The 23,486-nt window shown below is 61.9% G+C and overlaps 4 pseudogenes, besides 10 other annotated features; 1 reads left to right on the top strand and 3 right to left on the bottom strand.

Moving 5' to 3' along the window:
* On the bottom strand, positions 1-4,469 carry LOC124905315 (uncharacterized; annotated as a pseudogene).
* Positions 5,651-5,807, bottom strand: RNA5-8SP8 (RNA, 5.8S ribosomal pseudogene 8; annotated as a pseudogene).
* On the bottom strand, positions 6,885-8,753 carry RNA18SP3 (RNA, 18S ribosomal pseudogene 3; annotated as a pseudogene).
* Positions 9,238-14,320: an origin of replication, noted in NCBI's record as "region spanning probes Corb and Bsn; detected by hybridization of discrete probes to labeled nascent DNA isolated from cell-cycle synchronized cells". NCBI's record gives its function as "major site of early S phase replication" and the evidence as "EXISTENCE:nucleotide analog incorporation evidence [ECO:0001107][PMID:9358159]".
* Positions 9,238-19,979: a biological region, named in NCBI's record as "origin of replication in ribosomal DNA intergenic spacer".
* Positions 15,875-16,203: an origin of replication, noted in NCBI's record as "amplicon 10; detected by PCR of size-fractionated nascent DNA". NCBI's record gives its function as "peak of nascent strand synthesis in mid-late S phase" and the evidence as "EXISTENCE:fractionation evidence [ECO:0000100][PMID:16082215, PMID:16721058]".
* Positions 16,212-16,224: a sequence secondary structure, noted in NCBI's record as "intrinsic bending region; MboII site marking center of DNA bending; detected by analyzing electrophoretic mobilities of restriction fragments (circular permutation analysis)". NCBI's record gives the evidence for it as "EXISTENCE:gel electrophoresis evidence [ECO:0000337][PMID:16721058]".
* Positions 16,640-16,663: a protein binding site, noted in NCBI's record as "31 bp probe used to isolate proteins subject to MALDI-TOF analysis". NCBI's record gives the evidence for it as "EXISTENCE:DNA affinity chromatography evidence [ECO:0001809][PMID:19633418]".
* Positions 16,641-16,658: a nucleotide motif, noted in NCBI's record as "nucleotide motif; similar to yeast ARS consensus sequence (ACS)". NCBI's record gives the evidence for it as "COORDINATES:sequence similarity evidence [ECO:0000044][PMID:19633418]".
* Positions 17,600-17,960: an origin of replication, noted in NCBI's record as "amplicon 7; detected by PCR of size-fractionated nascent DNA". NCBI's record gives its function as "peak of nascent strand synthesis in early and late S phase" and the evidence as "EXISTENCE:fractionation evidence [ECO:0000100][PMID:16082215, PMID:16721058]".
* Positions 18,413-18,442: a nucleotide motif, noted in NCBI's record as "nucleotide motif; similar to yeast ARS consensus sequence (ACS)". NCBI's record gives the evidence for it as "COORDINATES:sequence similarity evidence [ECO:0000044][PMID:19633418]".
* Positions 19,501-19,979: an origin of replication, noted in NCBI's record as "CHB (probe 7); HindIII/BamHI fragment; detected by hybridization of labeled, size-fractionated nascent DNA to discrete probes". NCBI's record gives its function as "major site of nascent strand synthesis" and the evidence as "EXISTENCE:nucleotide analog incorporation evidence [ECO:0001107][PMID:7739533]".
* On the top strand, positions 19,596-21,668 carry LOC100286895 (cell division cycle 27 homolog pseudogene; annotated as a pseudogene).
* Positions 19,761-19,936: an origin of replication, noted in NCBI's record as "amplicon 5; detected by PCR of size-fractionated nascent DNA". NCBI's record gives its function as "minor peak of nascent strand synthesis" and the evidence as "EXISTENCE:fractionation evidence [ECO:0000100][PMID:16721058]".

The following is a 23,486-nucleotide window of genomic DNA, read 5'->3' as shown; positions in this document are numbered from 1 at the left end:
GAATTCTGCTTCACAATGATAGGAAGAGCCGACATCGAAGGATCAAAAAGCGACGTCGCTATGAACGCTTGGCCGCCACAAGCCAGTTATCCCTGTGGTAACTTTTCTGACACCTCCTGCTTAAAACCCAAAAGGTCAGAAGGATCGTGAGGCCCCGCTTTCACGGTCTGTATTCGTACTGAAAATCAAGATCAAGCGAGCTTTTGCCCTTCTGCTCCACGGGAGGTTTCTGTCCTCCCTGAGCTCGCCTTAGGACACCTGCGTTACCGTTTGACAGGTGTACCGCCCCAGTCAAACTCCCCACCTGGCACTGTCCCCGGAGCGGGTCGCGCCCGGCCGGCGCGCGGCCGGGCGCTTGGCGCCAGAAGCGAGAGCCCCTCGGGGCTCGCCCCCCCGCCTCACCGGGTCAGTGAAAAAACGATCAGAGTAGTGGTATTTCACCGGCGGCCCGCAGGGCCGGCGGACCCCGCCCCGGGCCCCTCGCGGGGACACCGGGGGGGCGCCGGGGGCCTCCCACTTATTCTACACCTCTCATGTCTCTTCACCGTGCCAGACTAGAGTCAAGCTCAACAGGGTCTTCTTTCCCCGCTGATTCCGCCAAGCCCGTTCCCTTGGCTGTGGTTTCGCTGGATAGTAGGTAGGGACAGTGGGAATCTCGTTCATCCATTCATGCGCGTCACTAATTAGATGACGAGGCATTTGGCTACCTTAAGAGAGTCATAGTTACTCCCGCCGTTTACCCGCGCTTCATTGAATTTCTTCACTTTGACATTCAGAGCACTGGGCAGAAATCACATCGCGTCAACACCCGCCGCGGGCCTTCGCGATGCTTTGTTTTAATTAAACAGTCGGATTCCCCTGGTCCGCACCAGTTCTAAGTCGGCTGCTAGGCGCCGGCCGAGGCGAGGCGCCGCGCGGAACCGCGGCCCCGGGGGCGGACCCGGCGGGGGGGACCGGCCCGCGGCCCCTCCGCCGCCTGCCGCCGCCGCCGCCGCGCGCCGAGGAGGAGGGGGGAACGGGGGGCGGACGGGGCCGGGGGGGTAGGGCGGGGGGACGAACCGCCCCGCCCCGCCGCCCGCCGACCGCCGCCGCCCGACCGCTCCCCGCCCCCAGCGGACGCGCGCGCGACGAGACGTGGGGTGGGGGGGGGGGCGCGCCGGCGCCCGCCGGGCTCCCCGGGGGCGGCCGCGACGCCCGCCGCAGCTGGGGCGATCCACGGGAAGGGCCCGGCTCGCGTCCAGAGTCGCCGCCGCCGCCGGCCCCCCGGGTGCCCGGGCCCCCCTCGCGGGGGACCGTGCCCCCGCCGCCGGGGCCCCGCGGCGGGCCGCCGCCGGCCCCTGCCGCCCCGACCCTTCTCCCCCCGCCGCCGCCCCCACGCGGCGCTCCCCCGGGGAGGGGGGAGGACGGGGAGCGGGGGAGAGAGAGAGAGAGAGGGCGCGGGGCGGGGAGGGAGCGAGCGGCGCGCGCGGGGTGGGGCGGGGGAGGGCCGCGAGGGGGGTGCCCCGGGCGTGGGGGGGGCGGCGGCGCCTCGTCCAGCCGCGGCGCGCGCCCAGCCCCGCTTCGCGCCCCAGCCCGACCGACCCAGCCCTTAGAGCCAATCCTTATCCCGAAGTTACGGATCCGGCTTGCCGACTTCCCTTACCTACATTGTTCCAACATGCCAGAGGCTGTTCACCTTGGAGACCTGCTGCGGATATGGGTACGGCCCGGCGCGAGATTTACACCCTCTCCCCCGGATTTTCAAGGGCCAGCGAGAGCTCACCGGACGCCGCCGGAACCGCGACGCTTTCCAAGGCACGGGCCCCTCTCTCGGGGCGAACCCATTCCAGGGCGCCCTGCCCTTCACAAAGAAAAGAGAACTCTCCCCGGGGCTCCCGCCGGCTTCTCCGGGATCGGTCGCGTTACCGCACTGGACGCCTCGCGGCGCCCATCTCCGCCACTCCGGATTCGGGGATCTGAACCCGACTCCCTTTCGATCGGCCGAGGGCAACGGAGGCCATCGCCCGTCCCTTCGGAACGGCGCTCGCCCATCTCTCAGGACCGACTGACCCATGTTCAACTGCTGTTCACATGGAACCCTTCTCCACTTCGGCCTTCAAAGTTCTCGTTTGAATATTTGCTACTACCACCAAGATCTGCACCTGCGGCGGCTCCACCCGGGCCCGCGCCCTAGGCTTCAAGGCTCACCGCAGCGGCCCTCCTACTCGTCGCGGCGTAGCGTCCGCGGGGCTCCGGGGGCGGGGAGCGGGGCGTGGGCGGGAGGAGGGGAGGAGGCGTGGGGGGGGGGGCGGGGGAAGGACCCCACACCCCCGCCGCCGCCGCCGCCGCCGCCCTCCGACGCACACCACACGCGCGCGCGCGCGCGCCGCCCCCGCCGCTCCCGTCCACTCTCGACTGCCGGCGACGGCCGGGTATGGGCCCGACGCTCCAGCGCCATCCATTTTCAGGGCTAGTTGATTCGGCAGGTGAGTTGTTACACACTCCTTAGCGGATTCCGACTTCCATGGCCACCGTCCTGCTGTCTATATCAACCAACACCTTTTCTGGGGTCTGATGAGCGTCGGCATCGGGCGCCTTAACCCGGCGTTCGGTTCATCCCGCAGCGCCAGTTCTGCTTACCAAAAGTGGCCCACTAGGCACTCGCATTCCACGCCCGGCTCCACGCCAGCGAGCCGGGCTTCTTACCCATTTAAAGTTTGAGAATAGGTTGAGATCGTTTCGGCCCCAAGACCTCTAATCATTCGCTTTACCGGATAAAACTGCGTGGCGGGGGTGCGTCGGGTCTGCGAGAGCGCCAGCTATCCTGAGGGAAACTTCGGAGGGAACCAGCTACTAGATGGTTCGATTAGTCTTTCGCCCCTATACCCAGGTCGGACGACCGATTTGCACGTCAGGACCGCTACGGACCTCCACCAGAGTTTCCTCTGGCTTCGCCCTGCCCAGGCATAGTTCACCATCTTTCGGGTCCTAACACGTGCGCTCGTGCTCCACCTCCCCGGCGCGGCGGGCGAGACGGGCCGGTGGTGCGCCCTCGGCGGACTGGAGAGGCCTCGGGATCCCACCTCGGCCGGCGAGCGCGCCGGCCTTCACCTTCATTGCGCCACGGCGGCTTTCGTGCGAGCCCCCGACTCGCGCACGTGTTAGACTCCTTGGTCCGTGTTTCAAGACGGGTCGGGTGGGTAGCCGACGTCGCCGCCGACCCCGTGCGCTCGCTCCGCCGTCCCCCTCTTCGGGGGACGCGCGCGTGGCCCCGAGAGAACCTCCCCCGGGCCCGACGGCGCGACCCGCCCGGGGCGCACTGGGGACAGTCCGCCCCGCCCCCCGACCCGCGCGCGGCACCCCCCCCGTCGCCGGGGCGGGGGCGCGGGGAGGAGGGGTGGGAGAGCGGTCGCGCCGTGGGAGGGGTGGCCCGGCCCCCCCACGAGGAGACGCCGGCGCGCCCCCGCGGGGGAGACCCCCCTCGCGGGGGATTCCCCGCGGGGGTGGGCGCCGGGAGGGGGGAGAGCGCGGCGACGGGTCTCGCTCCCTCGGCCCCGGGATTCGGCGAGTGCTGCTGCCGGGGGGGCTGTAACACTCGGGGGGGGTTTCGGTCCCGCCGCCGCCGCCGCCGCCGCCACCGCCGCCGCCGCCGCCGCCCCGACCCGCGCGCCCTCCCGAGGGAGGACGCGGGGCCGGGGGGCGGAGACGGGGGAGGAGGAGGACGGACGGACGGACGGACGGGGCCCCCCGAGCCACCTTCCCCGCCGGGCCTTCCCAGCCGTCCCGGAGCCGGTCGCGGCGCACCGCCGCGGTGGAAATGCGCCCGGCGGCGGCCGGTCGCCGGTCGGGGGACGGTCCCCCGCCGACCCCACCCCCGGCCCCGCCCGCCCACCCCCGCACCCGCCGGAGCCCGCCCCCTCCGGGGAGGAGGAGGAGGGGCGGCGGGGGAAGGGAGGGCGGGTGGAGGGGTCGGGAGGAACGGGGGGCGGGAAAGATCCGCCGGGCCGCCGACACGGCCGGACCCGCCGCCGGGTTGAATCCTCCGGGCGGACTGCGCGGACCCCACCCGTTTACCTCTTAACGGTTTCACGCCCTCTTGAACTCTCTCTTCAAAGTTCTTTTCAACTTTCCCTTACGGTACTTGTTGACTATCGGTCTCGTGCCGGTATTTAGCCTTAGATGGAGTTTACCACCCGCTTTGGGCTGCATTCCCAAGCAACCCGACTCCGGGAAGACCCGGGCCCGGCGCGCCGGGGGCCGCTACCGGCCTCACACCGTCCACGGGCTGGGCCTCGATCAGAAGGACTTGGGCCCCCCACGAGCGGCGCCGGGGAGCGGGTCTTCCGTACGCCACATGTCCCGCGCCCCGCCGCGGGGCGGGGATTCGGCGCTGGGCTCTTCCCTGTTCACTCGCCGTTACTGAGGGAATCCTGGTTAGTTTCTTCTCCTCCGCTGACTAATATGCTTAAATTCAGCGGGTCGCCACGTCTGATCTGAGGTCGCGTCTCGGAGGGGGACGGGCCGCTCGGCGGACGGACGGACGGAATCGCGCCGGCCCGACCGCCCGCCCGACGCTCCGTCGGGAGACGGGCCCGGCGAGGGGGAGAGGCGACGGGAGAGAGAGCGCGCGGCCGGCGGCACCCCCGCGCCGCCCCGCCGGAGCGGGACGACCGGAGGGAGGGGCACGGGCCGGGGGCGGGACGGGCGCCGCACGCCCCGACCCGTCTCCCCCGCGGAGGTCGGGGGGACGGGTCCGAGGACGCGGCGGCGGAGCCGCCCCGCCCCGACGCGGAAGCTCGGGACGGGGCCCCGGCGCGGCGCGGCGCGGCCGCGAGCCGGAGGCGGGCGCGCGACGGCGGACGACACCGCGGCGTCCCGCGGGTCGCCGCCGGGGACACGCGAACCCCGGCGCCGCGGCCACGGGCGCGGCCGGGCGGGCCGCGGGGCGGGCTCCCGGCCCCGGCCGACGCGCCGCGAGGCGAGCCGGGCGGGCGGGCGCGCGTACGCGCGGGGAGGGCGAGGAGGACGGGCGGGGCCTCGGAGGAGGGGCGGCGGGGAGGAGGAGGGGCGCGGGAGCGGCGGTCGGCCGGACGCCGGGCCGCCACCGGGGGCGGGCGGCGAACCGCGGCGACCGGGACGCGCTCCCCCGACCCTCTCTCCCCGCCGGCACCCTTCCCCTTCCGGACCCGCCTTCCTCCTCCCCCACCACCACACCGCACGCAACACGCCCCCACCGCCGACGACGCGCGACGACGACGACGACGACGGGCACGGGACCTTCCACCCGGCCGGGGCCGACGAACCCCGAACCCCGAGCCGCGCGCGGCGCGAGGGAGCCCCCCGAGGGAGGAACCCGGACCGCAGGCGGCGGCCACGGGAACTCGGCCCGAGCCGGCTCTCTCTTTCCCTCTCCGTCTTCGCGGGCGGCGGCGGCGCCGCCCTCCCCGTCTCTCTCAGCCGGGCGCGCCCCCCTCTCCCCCCCGCCACCCGACGCGTGACCACGCAGGGCCCGCGGGGGGAGGGGGAAGGGGCGGGCGCGGCGGCAAGAGGAGGGCGGACGCCGCCGGGTCTGCGCTTAGGGGGACGGAGGGCCCCCGGCGGGCCCTGCGAGGGAACCCCCAGCCGCGCACCCCGAGGAGCCCGGAGGCACCCCCGGGGGCGATTGATCGGCAAGCGACGCTCAGACAGGCGTAGCCCCGGGAGGAACCCGGGGCCGCAAGTGCGTTCGAAGTGTCGATGATCAATGTGTCCTGCAATTCACATTAATTCTCGCAGCTAGCTGCGTTCTTCATCGACGCACGAGCCGAGTGATCCACCGCTAAGAGTCGTACGAGGTCGATTTGGCGAGGGCGCTCCCGACGACGCACCGGGAGGAGGCCCTTCCTGGCGCGGCACGTCCCCCCCCCCCCCGCCCAAGAGGAGAGGGGGTTGCCTCAGGCCGGCCAGACGAGACAGCAAACGGGACCGGACTCCGGAGAGGGGTCGGAAGGTTTCACACCACGGGGAGGCGCGCGCCGCCCACGCGGGGGCGAGCGCGGACACCACCCCACAGGCGCCCGGGGGTTCCCGCCCCCACGGCGCGGGGCGCACGCCACACGCGCGGCAGGCGCGCGACGGCCGCCGGGTAAAGCCCCCACCCGACGGCCGCCGCGGCGGCGGCGGCGGCGCGGCCCCGGCCGGGGAGCGGAGTCCGCGGTGGAGGCGCGGGAGGGGCCGGGCCCCTCCCGACGGGACTCCCCCGCGGGCCCACCACCGCCCCCGACCCACGGGCGGACGGGCGATCCCCCCAAGGGGTCTTTAAACCTCCGCGCCGGAACGCGCTAGGTACCTGGACGGCGGGGGGGCGGACGAGGAGGCGGGGGAGGGGACCGGCGTCCGGCCCCCGACCCTCGAGACGCCCTAGCGGGAAGGCCGGGGAGAGCGAGCGGGGCCGTGCCCGGCGGCGCGGAGCGGCGCGGCGGAGGCGACGGGAATCCGGCCGGCCCCGAAGACGGGGAGCCGGCGCGGCGGGGCCGGACGACGGGCCCCGGCGGGGAGGAGGGCACCGAGACCCCCCCAGACCCGCCGCGACGCCGCCGAGAACCGCCCCCGCGCCCGCCGACACCCACGTCGTCGGGGCCGCGGCCGGGGACCGCTCCCCGCCGCCCGCCGGCCCCACGACACGCGCACACCAACGACACGCCCTTCTTTCTCTTTCTCTCTCTCTCTCTCTCTCCCCCGTCTCCCTCCCGAGTTCTCCGGCTCTCGCGGCCGGCGGGGCCGGGCGGCGAACGAACGAGCGAGCGAACGAACGGGCACGCGGGCCCCGCCCGCGCACGCGCCGCGTCGCGGTGGGGGGGTGGGTGTGCGGAGGGAAGCGCGCGGCGGCGGCGGCGCCGCCGCGGGCCTCGCCCTCCGGGCTCCGTTAATGATCCTTCCGCAGGTTCACCTACGGAAACCTTGTTACGACTTTTACTTCCTCTAGATAGTCAAGTTCGACCGTCTTCTCAGCGCTCCGCCAGGGCCGTGGGCCGACCCCGGCGGGGCCGATCCGAGGGCCTCACTAAACCATCCAATCGGTAGTAGCGACGGGCGGTGTGTACAAAGGGCAGGGACTTAATCAACGCAAGCTTATGACCCGCACTTACTGGGAATTCCTCGTTCATGGGGAATAATTGCAATCCCCGATCCCCATCACGAATGGGGTTCAACGGGTTACCCGCGCCTGCCGGCGTAGGGTAGGCACACGCTGAGCCAGTCAGTGTAGCGCGCGTGCAGCCCCGGACATCTAAGGGCATCACAGACCTGTTATTGCTCAATCTCGGGTGGCTGAACGCCACTTGTCCCTCTAAGAAGTTGGGGGACGCCGACCGCTCGGGGGTCGCGTAACTAGTTAGCATGCCAGAGTCTCGTTCGTTATCGGAATTAACCAGACAAATCGCTCCACCAACTAAGAACGGCCATGCACCACCACCCACGGAATCGAGAAAGAGCTATCAATCTGTCAATCCTGTCCGTGTCCGGGCCGGGTGAGGTTTCCCGTGTTGAGTCAAATTAAGCCGCAGGCTCCACTCCTGGTGGTGCCCTTCCGTCAATTCCTTTAAGTTTCAGCTTTGCAACCATACTCCCCCCGGAACCCAAAGACTTTGGTTTCCCGGAAGCTGCCCGGCGGGTCATGGGAATAACGCCGCCGCATCGCCGGTCGGCATCGTTTATGGTCGGAACTACGACGGTATCTGATCGTCTTCGAACCTCCGACTTTCGTTCTTGATTAATGAAAACATTCTTGGCAAATGCTTTCGCTCTGGTCCGTCTTGCGCCGGTCCAAGAATTTCACCTCTAGCGGCGCAATACGAATGCCCCCGGCCGTCCCTCTTAATCATGGCCTCAGTTCCGAAAACCAACAAAATAGAACCGCGGTCCTATTCCATTATTCCTAGCTGCGGTATCCAGGCGGCTCGGGCCTGCTTTGAACACTCTAATTTTTTCAAAGTAAACGCTTCGGGCCCCGCGGGACACTCAGCTAAGAGCATCGAGGGGGCGCCGAGAGGCAAGGGGCGGGGACGGGCGGTGGCTCGCCTCGCGGCGGACCGCCCGCCCGCTCCCAAGATCCAACTACGAGCTTTTTAACTGCAGCAACTTTAATATACGCTATTGGAGCTGGAATTACCGCGGCTGCTGGCACCAGACTTGCCCTCCAATGGATCCTCGTTAAAGGATTTAAAGTGGACTCATTCCAATTACAGGGCCTCGAAAGAGTCCTGTATTGTTATTTTTCGTCACTACCTCCCCGGGTCGGGAGTGGGTAATTTGCGCGCCTGCTGCCTTCCTTGGATGTGGTAGCCGTTTCTCAGGCTCCCTCTCCGGAATCGAACCCTGATTCCCCGTCACCCGTGGTCACCATGGTAGGCACGGCGACTACCATCGAAAGTTGATAGGGCAGACGTTCGAATGGGTCGTCGCCGCCACGGGGGGCGTGCGATCGGCCCGAGGTTATCTAGAGTCACCAAAGCCGCCGGCGCCCGCCCCCCGGCCGGGGCCGGAGAGGGGCTGACCGGGTTGGTTTTGATCTGATAAATGCACGCATCCCCCCCGCGAAGGGGGTCAGCGCCCGTCGGCATGTATTAGCTCTAGAATTACCACAGTTATCCAAGTAGGAGAGGAGCGAGCGACCAAAGGAACCATAACTGATTTAATGAGCCATTCGCAGTTTCACTGTACCGGCCGTGCGTACTCAGACATGCATGGCTTAATCTTTGAGACAAGCATATGCTACTGGCAGGATCAACCAGGTAGGTAAGGTAGAGCGCGGCGAGGCCCCGACGCGGCCGGACGGCCGGCCGGGGGGCCTCGCGAGGACGGGCCCGGCGCCCCGCAAGCGAGGAGGACGACGGACGGACGGACGGGCCGCGGACGGGCGGACGGGAGGGAGCGAGCGGGCGCGGGGGCGGCGGCCGGGACCGGTGGGGCCGGGGCGGGGCGCGGCGAACCGGACGCCCCAACCACCCGCCCCCCACGCGACACGACCACCGGGGCCCCGCGCCACAGACCCGCGACGCTTCTTCGTCGCGCCCGCCCGCGAGGAGGCGGACGGCCCGACCCGCGCCCGGCGGCCGGGAGGGACCGGCGGCCACGCGCGCGCGCGCGCGGCCGGCGCCCGCGGGCGGCGGCGAGGCGGGGACGGCGCTCCGCCCGCCCCGCGGGGCGGCCCCGACGTCCGGGCGGCGAGCGAGAGGCGGACCGCGGTGCCCGGCCCGGGGACAGTCGCGCCGTGCGGCCGCAGCGCCCGCGCACCGGTCCGGTCGAGGGCCCGGGGCCCGGCCGAAGCCCGGCTCCGAGCCCCGCCGGCGGGCGCGGGCGCAGGGGTGGCACACGCCACACGACGGCCAAGGGAGGGCCGACCGAGGCCGGCCGGCGCGCCCGCCCCCGCCCGGGACGGGGGACCGCGACCGGGGCCGAGGCCCCGGCCCGGGCCCCACCCCCCGACCCGGGGAAAGGGCGAGCGACCGGCAAGGCGGAGGTCGACCCACGCCACACGTCGCACGAACGCCTGTCCGGCAGGGACCACCGGGCCGCGCTCGGGCGCACGCGCGCGCCGAACGGGGCGACGCCACGCGGGGAGGACGGGCTCTCCCCGACGCCGACGCCCGGGACGGACGCCTCGGGGAAGGGCCGCGGCAGGCCCGGGAAGCGAGGCGCACCCGGGGGACGCGCCGACCCGGTTCGGAAGAGCGGGCCGGGAGAAGACGAGAGACCACGGGCGAGGCCGGGGCGACGGGGAAGGCGCGAGAAAGGCGGCCGGCGGGGAAGGGGACGCCACGGGGACCCCTCGAGCGCGGCCGACCGCGGCCGGGACACACGCGCGGGGCCTCACCGCCGCCGGCGGCACCGCGCGGCACCCGGGGCGGCCGACCGGCCCTCGGCGATCCCCGCGGCTGCCCCCACCACCGCCGCCGCAGTCGCGGCCGGTCCCCCGGAACCGTCTCCTCCCCCGCACGCGCCGCAGGCCGACCCCCGGAACCCTCCGGGAAGCCCACCGGGCCCCACGCGGGGCGCCACCGACCCGGTCCCCAAGGCGCGCGCCGGGGGACGCGGACGCCGGGCCGATCAGTGGCCGGCGGCGGCGCCCCACGAGGCGGTGCCGGGTTCGGTCCCAGGCGGGGCCACCAACGGACGTGAAGCCGGTGAGCCGCTCGGGGGGAAGAAGAGGATCGGCGGGCGGCGGGCGGGGAAGAGGGCACAGACGGGCGAGGGCCGGGGACCGCGAGGGCAAGGGCACCCGGGAGCCCGCAGAGGCGGCGGCTCGGGGAGAAACCTCAGGCACGGCCGGGCCACCAGGAAAACACGGCCGCGGGATCCCACCGCCACAGACACGAGGGCGGTCCCGCGGCGCCCCGCCTGGGACGCCGGACGGCCCTCGGCCCCCACCGAGAACCGCCTCGCGAGCCCCGGGGCCCCGCCACCGGGGGCCCCGGAGCGACCGCAGCCACGAACCCGACACGCCCGCACCACCGTCGCTCGTGATTCTCGTCCATCCTCCGACCCGGTCCCGCTCCGGGAGACCGGCGCGCCCCCACCGTGGGACGCTTTCCCAGGGCCAGGCGGGCCCGACCCCGTGCCACGCAAACGCGGTCGTCGGCACCGGTCACGACTCGGCACGGGAGCGGGCGGAGAGCCGACTCGCGGCGGAGGGGGTCACGCGCCGGACAGAGCGCCGGGCGCGCACACCCACCGCCCGCCGGCCGCCGCGTCCCAACCCGCTGGGAACGCCGGGCCCGGCCCGGCGGGATCCTCCCCCGACTCGGAAGGGGGAGGCGCGGGCCACAGTAGGCGACGAGCCGCACTCGGCCACCACCGCGGTGGCCGGCGGAACCCTCGCTTCTCCCCCCCAACCCCGTCGAGGGGGAAGCGGAGGAGGGTCCTCTGCGAGCGGGTCGCTACGGCAGCGCTACCATAACGGAGGCAGAGACAGAGGCGGCGGCCCGGGGGATCCGGTACCCCCAAGGCACGCCTCTCAGATCGCTAGAGAAGGCTTTTCTCACCGAGGGTGGGTCACACTCCCCCCACCCGCCAGCCGCTCCTCCTCGGGCCCGCAGAGGCGCCGAGGGACGCCTGGGGAAGGGAGGGGGCCCTGCGGTACGAGGAAACACCTGCGCGCGGCCACCTCGAGCGTTCGCGTTCAGGGCGGGGGCCCGGCCGGTGCGCGCGTGCGCGCAACCCCACCAGGCCCCCCCGTCCACCCACCTCCTTCCTTCCGAGGCAGAGCGCCTCCGAAGTCAACCCACACACGACCGGTCGGAGGCAGAACGGCAGCCCCTCGGCGGCCGGCCGGCGCACGCGTCACACCGGCCCGAACCCACCGCGATCGCTCACACGGCCCGCGCGCACCCGCCAGAGGGGAGCACGGGACGTGCGCTCACCGAGAGCAGGCGGGCGCCCTTCCCCGCGTGGGAGGGGCGCGTCTCGTCTCGTCTCACTCAAACCGCCTCGAACCCCACACCGACGAGCTCCCTCAGGACCCACGCGCGGACACCGCGGCGGCGACCGGAGGAGGGGGCGCCGGGGGCGGGAACGACACACCACCGTTCGGCCTCGGGCACCTGAGGGACAACCCGGAGCGCTCCAGGAGCACCGCAAGGGCCCAGGCGGAGCCGACGCTCGCGCAAACCCCCCGAGAGGGCAGCACGACGGGCCGGCGGGACGGCACCCCCACCGCCGCGGAGGGGGGCCGCCCGCAAGTCGACAACCACTGGAGGCGACAGCGAGGGCTGTCTGCCGCGTCAGAGGACCCCGCCGGCCCGCCCCGCGACGCAGAAGGCGGCGGGCGGGACGGCGAGGTCGGGCCGGGGTCCGCACCCCACGCCTTCCCACACGCACCGCCGGCGGGCGGGGAGAGGAGAGACGAGGGGACCCCCGCGGGGCGGAGCGAGAAGGACGGTCCCGTTCGCCACGAACGTCCGCCCCTCGCCCGTCGCGGCTCGGACCCGGCCCGGGAGAGCACGACGTCACCACATCGATCACGAAGAGCCCCCCGGGAGCGGAGGCCGGCCGGCCGGCCAGCGAGCCGATCGGCTCCGGCCAACCCCCCACTCCGGGGAAGGGGCGGCGGACAACCCCGCGGAGACGAGAACGCCTGACACGCACGGCACGGAGCCAGCGGGGTGGGGTTGTCGCGGCCGCCCCGGGCGCCCGCAGCGGAGAGCGCACGGGGGCACGGTGGCCCTCGCCGCCTTCCCCGCCGCCCCCGGGTGGGTCAGAGACCCGGACCCGGGCCGGCACCGGGAGTCGGGACGCTCGGACGCGCGAGAGAACAGCAGGCCCGCGGGCCCCGGCAGGCGGCTCAAGCAGGAGCGCGGCCGGCTAGCCGGGTCACCGGTAGGCCAGAGCCCCGCGCGCATCCGGAGGCCCAACCTCTCCAGCGACAGGTCGCCAGAGGACAGCGTGTCAGCAATAACCCGGCGGCCCAAAATGCCGACTCGGAGCGAAAGATATACCTCCCCCGGGGCCGGGAGGTCGCGTCACCGACCACGCCGCCGGCCCAGGCGACGCGCGACACGGACACCTGTCCCCAAAAACGCCACCATCGCAGCCACACACGGAGCGCCCGGGGCCCTCTGGTCAACCCCAGGACACACGCGGGAGCAGCGCCGGGCCGGGGACGCCCTCCCGGCCGCCCGTGCCACACGCAGGGGGCCGGCCCGTGTCTCCAGAGCGGGAGCCGGAAGCATTTTCGGCCGGCCCCTCCTACGACCGGGACACACGAGGGACCGAAGGCCGGCCAGGCGCGACCTCTCGGGCCGCACGCGCGCTCAGGGAGCGCTCTCCGACTCCGCACGGGGACTCGCCAGAAAGGATCGCGGCAGAGGGACCGCGGCCCGGCCCGGGGACCGCTCCCCGGCACCCGGGGGACGGGGGCGGGACGGTCCCCGGCTCCCCACGGGGACTCGGAAACGAATTCGGCCGCCGCCTCAGACGGCCAGGATGAGCGCGGACCCGCGACCGGGCCGGGAAGGGCGTCCCCAGCCTCCCGCGCCACGCGCGGCGGGTCCCCGCGGGTCGCGGCTCGGGCCTCGGGAGCTACGGCGCGCTGGTCGACCGGCCCGGGCAGCCCCACGCCCGCCGCGGGCCCAGAAGCGCAGCGACAGCCTCTCCCCCACATAAACCTGCACGCCAGAGCTGTGACTCACAAGCGACGCGCCACAGCTCTGGCGCCACCGGGCCAGCCGGGCTGACGACCGCGGGCTTTCCGGAGCTCTGCCTAGCTCACAGCGGGGACGGTCCCCTCCCTCGGCAGCTGCCACCGCAGCTCCGGAAGCCGAGAGCACGATCTCAAAGCGGCCGCCAGATGGAGCCCGACAACCGCCGCGGACGTCAGCGAGACAGATCCGGCTGGCAGGGCGGCCCGTGGACCGCGAAAGCGAAACCGTGAGTCGAGAAGCTCTTCCCGAGGCCGAAAACGCAGCCCCTCTGCCCCAACCCCACACAAACGGTGCCCAAAACGCGTCTCTGCCTCGACCGCGACAGAGTCAGAAGACAACCCACGGCGCGTGGGTGTTTGGAGATGCCTCTCGGAAGCAGGGAGGGAGGGAGGGAGGGAGTGAGGGAGGGAGAAAGAACACACAAGGACTCGGTCGCGGGTCGCTGCAGACACACGGAGAGGCAGAATGCGTAGGCTCTTCCGGAATCCACGCAGAGACAGACGGGGGGAGGGGAGTGGGGAAAAGAGACAGATGGCGAAAGGGAAGGAGGGAGGGAAGGGAGCAGGGAGGGAGGGAGGGAGGGAGGGAGGAAGAAAATGGAGAAAAGAGAGACAATTTAGAAAACGTAGATACACAAAGTAAACTTCTGAAACACTCCATTTTTTAAAAGACAGACGGGAAGGAAAGAAACACGAAAAAGAGAGAAAGAATGAGGAAAGAAACGAAGGAAAGAAGGGAAAAAGAAACAGAGAGGAAAGAAAAAAGAAGGAAACACAGGGAACGAAAGAGAAATAAAGCACGAAGGAAAAAAGGACAGAAAGAGAGAAAGAAGGAAAGGAAGAGAGGAAGAAAAACCTAAAGAAGGAGAGAAAGGAAGAAAGGAAGGAAGAAAAACACGAAGGAGAGGAAGAAAGAAAACAGAGATAACTACGTACGCTCGTTCATTTACACACATAAATACGACGCTTTTCATACGTAAAATAAACGTCTTTATCGACGATCCCTTCTTTATAGAGCGATGTGTATTTATTTGTATAACACAAACACCTACATCTATCATACAGAAGTCTATTTCCATACAACCGATACGTATTTACCATACGCAAGAGTATTCAATGCAGAGATACACGTTGTCGTTGTTTGCATATAAGCGTACAGAAACGTTTACATTAATACATATAAGTAAACGCGTGGAAACGAAAGAAATAAAAAAGCGAAATGAGTCAACAGGCCGGGCACGGTGGCTCACGCCCGTCATCCCAGCACTTCGAGAGGCCGAGGTGGGCGCATCACAGGAGGTCGGGAGTTGGAGACCAGCCTGAGCAACATGGAGAGACACGGCGTGCCTACTAAAAACACAAACATCAGCCAAGCCAGGCGTGGGGGTGCCTCCCTGTAATCCCCGCTAATCGGGAGGCTGAGGCAGGAGAAGCGCTCGAACCCGGGAGGCGGAAGGTGCGGTGAGCCAAGATCGCGCCATTGCACTCTAGCCGTGGAAACAAGAGTGAAACTCTGTCTCAAAAGGACGAAACAGAAAGAAAGAAAGAAAGAAAGAAAGAAAGAAAGAAAGAAAGATAGAAAGAAAGAAAGAAAGAAAGGAAAGAAAGAAAGAATGAATGAATGAAAGAAAAGAAAGCAAGAAAGAAAGAAAAAGAAAAGAAAGAAAGAAAAGAAAGCAAGAAAGAAAGCACGAAAGCAAGCAAGCAAGAAAGCAAGAAAACAAGGAAGCAAGAAAGCAAGCAAGAAAGAAACAAAAGAAAGAAAGCAAGAAAACAAGAAAGCACGAAAGCAAGCAAGCAAGAAAGCAAGAAAACAAGGAAGCAAGAAAGAAAGAAACAAAAGAAAGAAAGAAAACAAGAAAGCAAGAAAGCACGAAAGCAATCAAGCAAGAAAGCAAGCAGGAAAGAAACAAAAGAAAGAAAGAAAGCGAGAAAACAAGAAAGCACGAAAGCAAGCAAGCAAGAAAGCAAGCAAGAAAGAAAGAAAGAAAGAAAACAGGAAAGCAAGAAAGCACGAAAGCAAGCAAGCAAGCAAGAAAGCAAGCAAGAAAGAAACAAAAGAAAGAAAGAAAGAAAGAAAGAAAAAGAAAACAGGAAAGCAAGAAAGCACGAAAGCAAGCAAGCAAGCAAGAAAGCAAGCATGAAAGAAACGAAAGAAAGAAAGAAAGCAAGAAAACGGGAAAGCAAGAAAGCACGAAAGCAAGCAAGCGAGCGAGAGAGAGAGAGAGAGAGAGAGAGAGAGAGAGAGAGAGAGAGGCTGGGCGCGGTGGCTCACGCCTGTCATCCCAGCACTTTGGGAGGCTAAGGCAGGCGGACCACCTGAGGTTGGGAGTGGGAGACCAGCCTGACCAACATGGAAAAACACCGTCTCTACTAAAAGTACAAACATCAGCCAGGCACGGTGGCCCATGCCTGTAATCCCAGCTAATCAGGAGGCTGAGGCAGGAGAATCGCTTGAACCTGGGAGGCGGAGGGTGCGGTGAGCCGAGATCGCACCATTGCCCTCTAGCCTGGGCAACAAGAGTGAAACTCTGTCTCAAAAAAAAAAGAAGAAGAAGAAGAAGAAGAAGAAGAAGAAGAAGAAGAAGAAGAAGAAGAAGAAGAAGAAGAAGAAGAAAAAGAGAAAGTAATAAAGAAAGAAAGAAAGAAAAGGCAAGGCCAGGCAAGTCCAGGCAAGGCAAATCTACCTGCTTTCACTACATCTGGGGAGAATCAGGAAAGTCCCCAACAACAACAAGGCCTAAAGTGGAGCTGCCATCTGTCAAACCCGAGCGGAAGAGTCCACGCGGGTTAAAGACACGAAGAAAGACAAGGAAACCCCTGACCAAGGAGAAGAACAATCGGGCCCAGCCAGGGTCTGTCTCCCGGGGTTGTCTGGGCAACCAGGGAGGGCGGGCCTCCGAGACTCCGTCTCGAAACATCAATCACGATAATAACATAAAATGAAGTTAAAAAAAGAAATCACGCATAATTCCTAACGTGTTTGAGGCCTCGAAAGGCGAGAGGCGTACGTGTATGTCACGGTGGGGTTGTTCTGTTTTGTTGTTTTTTTCTTTTTTCTTTTCTTCTTTTTCCCCAGAAACTCACTTTTTAATTATTTTGTTGCGTTTCATTTTCATTTTCATTTTTTGGAGACGGAGTCTCGCTCTGTCGCCCAGGCTGGGTTGCAGTGGCGCGATCTCGGCTCACTGCAACCTCCGCCTCCCAGGTTCAAGCGATTCTCCTGCCTCAGCTCGGCCTCCCGAGTAGCTGGGATTACAGACAGTACAGCACAGCACAGCGCCCGGCTAATGTTGTGTATTGTGAGTAGAGACGGGGTTTCACCATACTGGCCCTGTTGGTCTGACCGCCTCTTGATCCACCGGCCTTGGCCTCCCAAAGTGAGGGGATGACAGGCTTGAGCCACCGCGCAGGGCCCATTTATTTATTTTATTTTATTTATTTATTTTAATTTATGTATGTATGTATGTATGTATGTATGTATTTATTTATGTATTTATTTTTGAGACGGAGTTTCGCTCTTGTTGCTCAGACTGGAGTGCGATGGCGCAATCTCGGCTCACTGCAACCTCCGCTTCCCAGGTTCAAGCGATTCTCCTGCCTCAGCCTTCCTAGCAGCTGGGATTATAGGCATGTGCCACCGCGCCCGGCTAGTTTTGTATTTTCAATTGAGACGGGATTTCTCCATGTTGGTCGGGCTTGTCTCCAACTCCCGACTTCAGGTGATGCGTCCACCTCGGCATCCCAAAGTGACGGGATGACAGGCATGAGCCACCGCGCCCGGCGTATTGTATTGTATTGTATTGTATTGTATTGTATTGTATTGTATTGTATTGTATTGTATTGTATTGTATTGTATTGTATTGTATTGTATTGTATCGTATCGTATTGTATTGTATCCTATCGTATCCTATCGCATCCTATCGTATCGTATCTTATTGTATTGTAATGGGTTGTATTGACTTATTTTATTTAGTTAGTTACTTTTGTGTTATTTTATTGATTTATCTGTTTGTTCGTTTTTGCCTGATCAAAGGTCAATCAGACCCAGTCGTCAAAGTGGCGATTTCCTAGGCAACAAGGGAGGGAGGAACTTGGAGGTGGGGGCGGGGGCGGTGGAGAAGACACAGTTGCCCCAGGCTGTGCGCAGGCGGCCTGGTGCTCCCTTCCTCTGTGAGGCCTCCGTTTTCAGAGTAACAGTGACCGCTAGGTGATGCCCGACGCCTGCCAGTGAGCGTGTCAGCCCGGAATGAATTGGGATCCCCTGGGGAGGGGGTGGGGGGAAGGATGGAGGCTCCCACAGCACAGTGGGTCACCGCGCCCTCCAAGGCGATCCCCACAACTAATCGACCAGGGCTCCTGGGGGGACGCAGCCTAAGTCCCCCACCCATCGGATCATCTGGAACTTCCGTCCAGAGACGAGAGACCGACTGGGAATCCTCTCAGTCAAGGTCCAAACCGAAAAGAATCACTGGCACGGACACCAGGGCTAAGGCCATTTCTAAAAGACTGCTTTCTGTGTTTTGGGTGAATCCGTGTATTTCTGTATCACAAAATGACTGACTTTGAACGTTACGATTTTTCTCCTCCTTACGTGTACGGTCCTGTGATAGACAGACCAGGGGACTCCTCGGCTCAGAGTCCGTGAGGCCAGAAGCTGACGTCCCAAATTTCTATTTAGAATGAGTTTAAGCACGCCAGCCAAACGCTCTGCCGTGAAACTGTCTGTCGGGAAGACAAGCGGGGGAAGGGGAAAGGGGGGGTCCGGGCGCGGTAGGCTCGCGCCTGTCATCCCCGCACTTTTGGGAGGCCGAGGGCCGGTGGATCCCTCGGTCCAAGCCTTGGCAACACGGTGAAACCTCGTCTCAAAAAAAAAAAAAAAAAAAAAAAATTACAAAAACTAACTGGTTTCATAACCTGGACTCAAAGTTAATAAATAGATAAATAGGCCGGGGGCGGTGGCTCACGCCTGTCATCCCAGCACTTTGGGAGGCCGAGGTGGACGGATCACGGGGTCAGGAGATCGAGACCATCCTGGCTACCACAGTGAAACCCCATCTCTACTCAAAATACAAAAAGTTAGCCGGGCACGGTGGCGGGCGCCTGTAGTCCCAGCTACTTGGGAGGCTGAGGCAGGAGAATGGCGTGAACCCGGGAGGCGGAGCTTGCAGTGAGCCGAGATCACGCCGCTGCACTCCAGCCTGGGCAGCAGAGCGAGAGTCTGTCTCGAAAATAAATAAATAAGTAAATAAATAAATAAATAAATAAATGTAAATAAATAAATAGATTAAAATGGAAAACTAAAAAAAAGTAAAATAATTAAAAAAATAAATAAATAAACGTAGCCGGCCAGTCACGATGGCTCACGCCTGTCACCCCAGCACTTTGGGAGGCCGGGGCGGGCAGATCCACTGGGGTCGCCAGTTCGAGACCAGCCTGACCCACATGGAGAAATGCCGTCTCTACTAACAATACAAAATCAGCCGGGTGTGGTGGCTCCTCCCTGTAATCCCAGCTACTCAGGAGGCTGAGGCAGGAGAATCGCTTGAACGCGGGAGGTGGAGGTTGCGGTGAGCCGAGATGGTGCCACTGCACTCCAGCGTGGGCACCAAGAGTGAAACTCCGTCCGAAGGGAAAAAAAAAAATTAATTAAGTGCTGTATTCTGTTATTTTTGCTTCCTACCCTGAGAAGAACATAATACAGCTGTTGTCTTTCTGCCTGCCTGCCTGCCTGCCTGCCTGCCTGTGGCAGGGCCTCATTCTGTCTTTCGCCCAGACTGGAGCACAGTGACACAACTATGGCTCACTCACTGCAACCTCAACCTCCCCAGGGTTAGGCGATTCCTCGAGGGATCCTACGGCCTCGGCCTCCCAAAGTGTTGGGGTTACAGGCGTGAGCCACCAGCACCCGGCCTGAGTTAATACATCTGGTCTCACTACGTCTTAACCACGCACCCACGAAGAACTCAAGTCAAGAGAGAGTCGGCAAGAGACTCTCAGCATTCTCTCCCGAAAGCACGTGTGTCCCGAGCTCCTGTGGTTTCAGGTGGCCGCGCGTAGAGGAGAGATTTCCAATGTTTCCGGAGAGGTGCGAGCCACAGTCACTCGGGGCATCCGAGCATGAGATGGGGTTTCTGACAGCGACTGAAGGGCCAGGAAGGGCCAGAATCTGCCAAGGCCCGGCGTTCCAGGGTGGGGCCGAGGGAACCCAAGGTAGAGGGAGTCAGCGGTCCGCACGGAGAGAGCTCCAGCCCTAGGCCCCACTGTGCAGACCGAATCAGAAGGAAGAGAGTCCTTCGTCCTACCTGCCACACCCCTCACATCCCCCCACTGAACTTGGGAGTGGATCCGTGTTCTAAACACGAGGTGACTCTCCGTTTGCAATGGATCACAAGGCGCCGGGCTTTCCAGAGTCAGCAGGATAAAGAAGTCATTCTGTCTCGGACTCCCCCATCCCCCGGTAACGGCGGCTGGTGCCTTTAAATGAGCCGGGGCTGGCCGGGCCGGAGCCGCTATGGGGGGGGGGGGGTGCCTGTGGCACTGCAGAAAGTGGGCCTGAGCCTCGAGGATGGCGGTGCTGCAGGGACCCGTCCAGGCTGCTATATGGCAAGCACTAAACCACTATGCCTACCGAGATGCGGTTTCCCCCGCAGAACGCCTTTATGCAGAAGTACACTCAGAAGAAGCCTTGTTCTTACTGGCGACCTGTTCTTACCGCTCAGGAAAGGCCTATAAAACATATAGACTCTTGAAAGGACACAGTTGTACTACCCCGCAATGCAAATGCCTGCTTGCGAAATGTTGTGTTGATCTCAGCAAGCTTGCAGAAGGGGATCAAATCTTATCGGGTGGAGTGTTTCATAAGCAGAAAAGCCACGATGATATTATCGTTCCTGAGTTTGGTGATTCAGCTCGCTTTCCCCTTCCATCGTCGGGACATGTATATTGCAAGACAGATCGGCTTACCAAAGGATCAGAATGTGACCAAAAGAGCCTTCGTTGAAATCCTTTCCTCTGGTGTCCCTTTGAATCATGATGTGAAATAGGGGGGAAAAGCCAGATCCTGACCAAACATTTTGATTCACCTCTCTAGAGAGCTTTAGCAACTGCCTGTCCAAGTGTTGCGCCACAACACTTGGACCTCGTCCTAGTTTATGTCACAGACAGCCCGAGACCGTTCTTACGGAAACACCCCAGGACACCGTCGAATGAAACGGATGGAATTTAGAATCTTCCAATTCAAAGTACTCCTTGAATACAGACTCCCCAGTGTCTTCTATCGATTCAGCTGTCCTTTCACCTGATACTGTCCCACTGGGAACAGGAACTTCCATATGATCTAAACAGGTTCAACATAAACCAAAAACTGGTCGAAGTTTATTAGGAGGACCAGCAGCTGTTAGTCCATTAACCCCAAGCGTTGGCATTTTGCCATTAGAAACCCCAAGTCCCGGAGACGGACCCTATTGACAAAACTGCACTGGTATGAGACACCGTCTGTCATTGACGTGCCATCCACCGGAGCCCCTTCAAAAAAGCCTGTTGCCAGAATCGGCCAAACCGGAACACCGTCTGTCTTCTCGCAGAGGGGAAAGAGCCGAAAGGTAACTCCAGTCCTTGCAAAAACACAAAGTTCTGGTCCGCCGACAAGGGCAACACCTCAGGTATTGAGCCCCACTATGGCATCTCCCCCAAATGCACCGCCTCGAAGAAATTCACGACTCTTGACTAGTGACAGCTCCACAACCGAGGAGAATAGGAGAAAATTAAAAATGAAGTTTCCACCTAAAATCCCAAACAGAAGAACCAAAAGTAAAACTAATAAAGGAGCAATAACTCCACCGAACATAAGTGATAGCCTGGAAGTGACAAAATTGGACTCTTCCGTCATTTCAGAAGGGGAAATAGCCGCAATCGCGCCTCAGATTCAGGCTTTTAATCTACAAAAAGCAGCAGCGGAAGGCTTGATGAGCCTTCTTCGTGAAAGGGGGAAAGGTTATTTAGCTTTGTGTTCTTACCACGGCAAAGAAGCTATCAGCATCTTGAGCCATCTAGCTTCTCACCACTGCAATACCGGTTGGGTACTGTGCCAAATCGGAAGGGCCTATTGTAAACTTTCAGAGTCCACGCAAGCTGAAAGACAATTCTCAGAGGTTAGGAGGATTGAGAATTACAGAGTCGAAGGCATGGAGATCTACTCTACAACACTTTGGCATCCTCCGAAAGAGGTTGCTCTTTCAGTTCTGTCCAAAGACTTCACAGACATGGATAAAAATTCGCCAGCCAGAGGCCTGGTGTGCTGCAGGGAACTGTTTCGGTCTGCAACGGGAACACGATATTGCGATTCAATTCTTCCAGAGAACTCTCGAAGTGGATCCAAATGATGCTTATGCCTATAGCGCATTAGGGCGTGAGCTTGTCTTCACTGAAGAACTGGACAAAGCATTAGCTTGTTTTCGAAATGCTATCAGGGTCAATCCTAGACATTGTGAGGCATGGTAAGTGCTAATGAAGCGTAAAGACAAAGCCCTATGGATGGTGCCGGTACTCGCTAATTTTTCTGGTTAGATAGCTCTTTATTGTCACGAATTTGGTGAAAAATACTTAGGGATGGTACCTACTGCTGAATAACTTCTAACTAAGATGTTTCCTTACGAAACGTATGTCTTGAACAAACTCTGAAGTGAACTCATGATCGTAGAATACCAGATCCTTATACTCAACAGTTTCAGTCTTCTAGCAAACTTTTGCAGACGCTGTAGTTGTCTTTGGTTTGTGTGTGTGTTTCTTTAGTTGTGTTCCTTGATTTGTTACTTTTTCTTCGAGCACCGAAGTGGTGATGGGGACAAGAAGTGCTTGGGAGACTGGAAAGGAATAGCATAGTTCACTTATTGGATAATAGAAAAATACATGGAAACAATTCACTAGCTGCTGCTTTTTGACAGTGTTCCAGTTTACGGAGTTACTATGAAGAACTTCACGTACCCTTTAATTTAGCAGTCTCTCTGTTTTACTCTTTTGTACTCGTGTATAAGTAGGCACATAGGAAATTACTACCTAGGTCATATTGTTATCAACTGAATAAGATAGGAAAAAGTGTGGTCCTACTTCTGCCTCAACACCATCCTCACCGTTGACATTTATTGCGTTTCTCTGGACTGACTTCATAGTTTAAACGTCAAGAGAAGGCCGGGCTCAGTGGCTCACGCCTGTCATCCCAGCACTTTGGGAGGCCGAGGCGGGCGGGTCACGAGGTCAAGAGATCGAGACCATCCGGGCCGACACGGTGAAACCCCGTCTCTATTAAAAGTATAAAGATTAGCTGGGCGTGGTGGCGGGCACCTGTAGTCCCAGCTACTCGGGAGGCTGAGGCAGGAGAATCGCTTGAACCCAGGGAGGTGGCGGTTGCAGTGAGCCGAGATCACACCATCGCACTCCAGCCTGGGCGACAGAGCGAGACGCCGTCTCAAGAGAAATAAATTAAAAAAAATAAATACATACATAAGTAAATATCAAGAGAAAGTATGATTCTGAAGTCATAACCCTGTGGTAGTTATTTTGTCAGATACGGTGATCTTTGGGGTGACTTATTACAGCAGTGGAGTTCTATCATTTGATTTGCTTCTAAATCTGAAGCATTATATTACTGAAACACTTTTTGATTTGCGAATATGTTGTTTAATGGATCATATCTCATTTTGCTGTAGTAGTTACATTGCCCGAAAGATGGCCAAAAAGATAGTGCCAGCTACTGCTGACCAACGTAACAATCAACTTGCCAATACTGCCTTCTCTTCCGATAGCTACGTTCTCCGTCCTATTTTAAGAACTCAGTTCTTCATAAGACTTGTGTGGTTTTCGATTTTTTCCCAAGTCTGGTTGATCCTTGTGTTGTTATTTTTTTAAATGTGTATCGTCTGTTCAGCTATTTTGCAGGAGTCGCATTCTTAAAAAAATCTTAACCCTATCAAAAATTGTGTTTGTTTAAAGGAGGATTATTCAGATCGGCCAGCTTTTACTAGGAAGAGTGTAAATGCTGACGTATTTAGGTAGCTCTAAATACTGAGCAACTTTATTCTAACCACAAAATAGATAGCCTTTCTTTTGTCTTCACTTTCACTATCATTAGCACAGTGTTTAATACCGTTTCTTCATCTATAACACAATTATAATGATATAGGAAGCCACTCAAATAAGGCAGACATGTTGCGTTGCGCTTAAAAAAAAAAAAAAAAAAAGAAGTCTCTCTGTGGCACGGAATGAGGTGTGGCTCGAATCTAGAATCTCCAGTGAAAACCAATGAAAGAGGGTGAAACCCCGTGTCTACCAA

This window comes from Homo sapiens, unplaced genomic scaffold (genome assembly GCF_000001405.40).
Source record: "Homo sapiens unplaced genomic scaffold, GRCh38.p14 Primary Assembly HSCHRUN_RANDOM_CTG11".
NCBI lineage: Eukaryota > Metazoa > Chordata > Mammalia > Primates > Hominidae > Homo > Homo sapiens.
The sequence above is the reverse complement of the archived record's forward strand: the minus strand, read 5'-3'. Positions and strand labels throughout refer to the sequence as shown.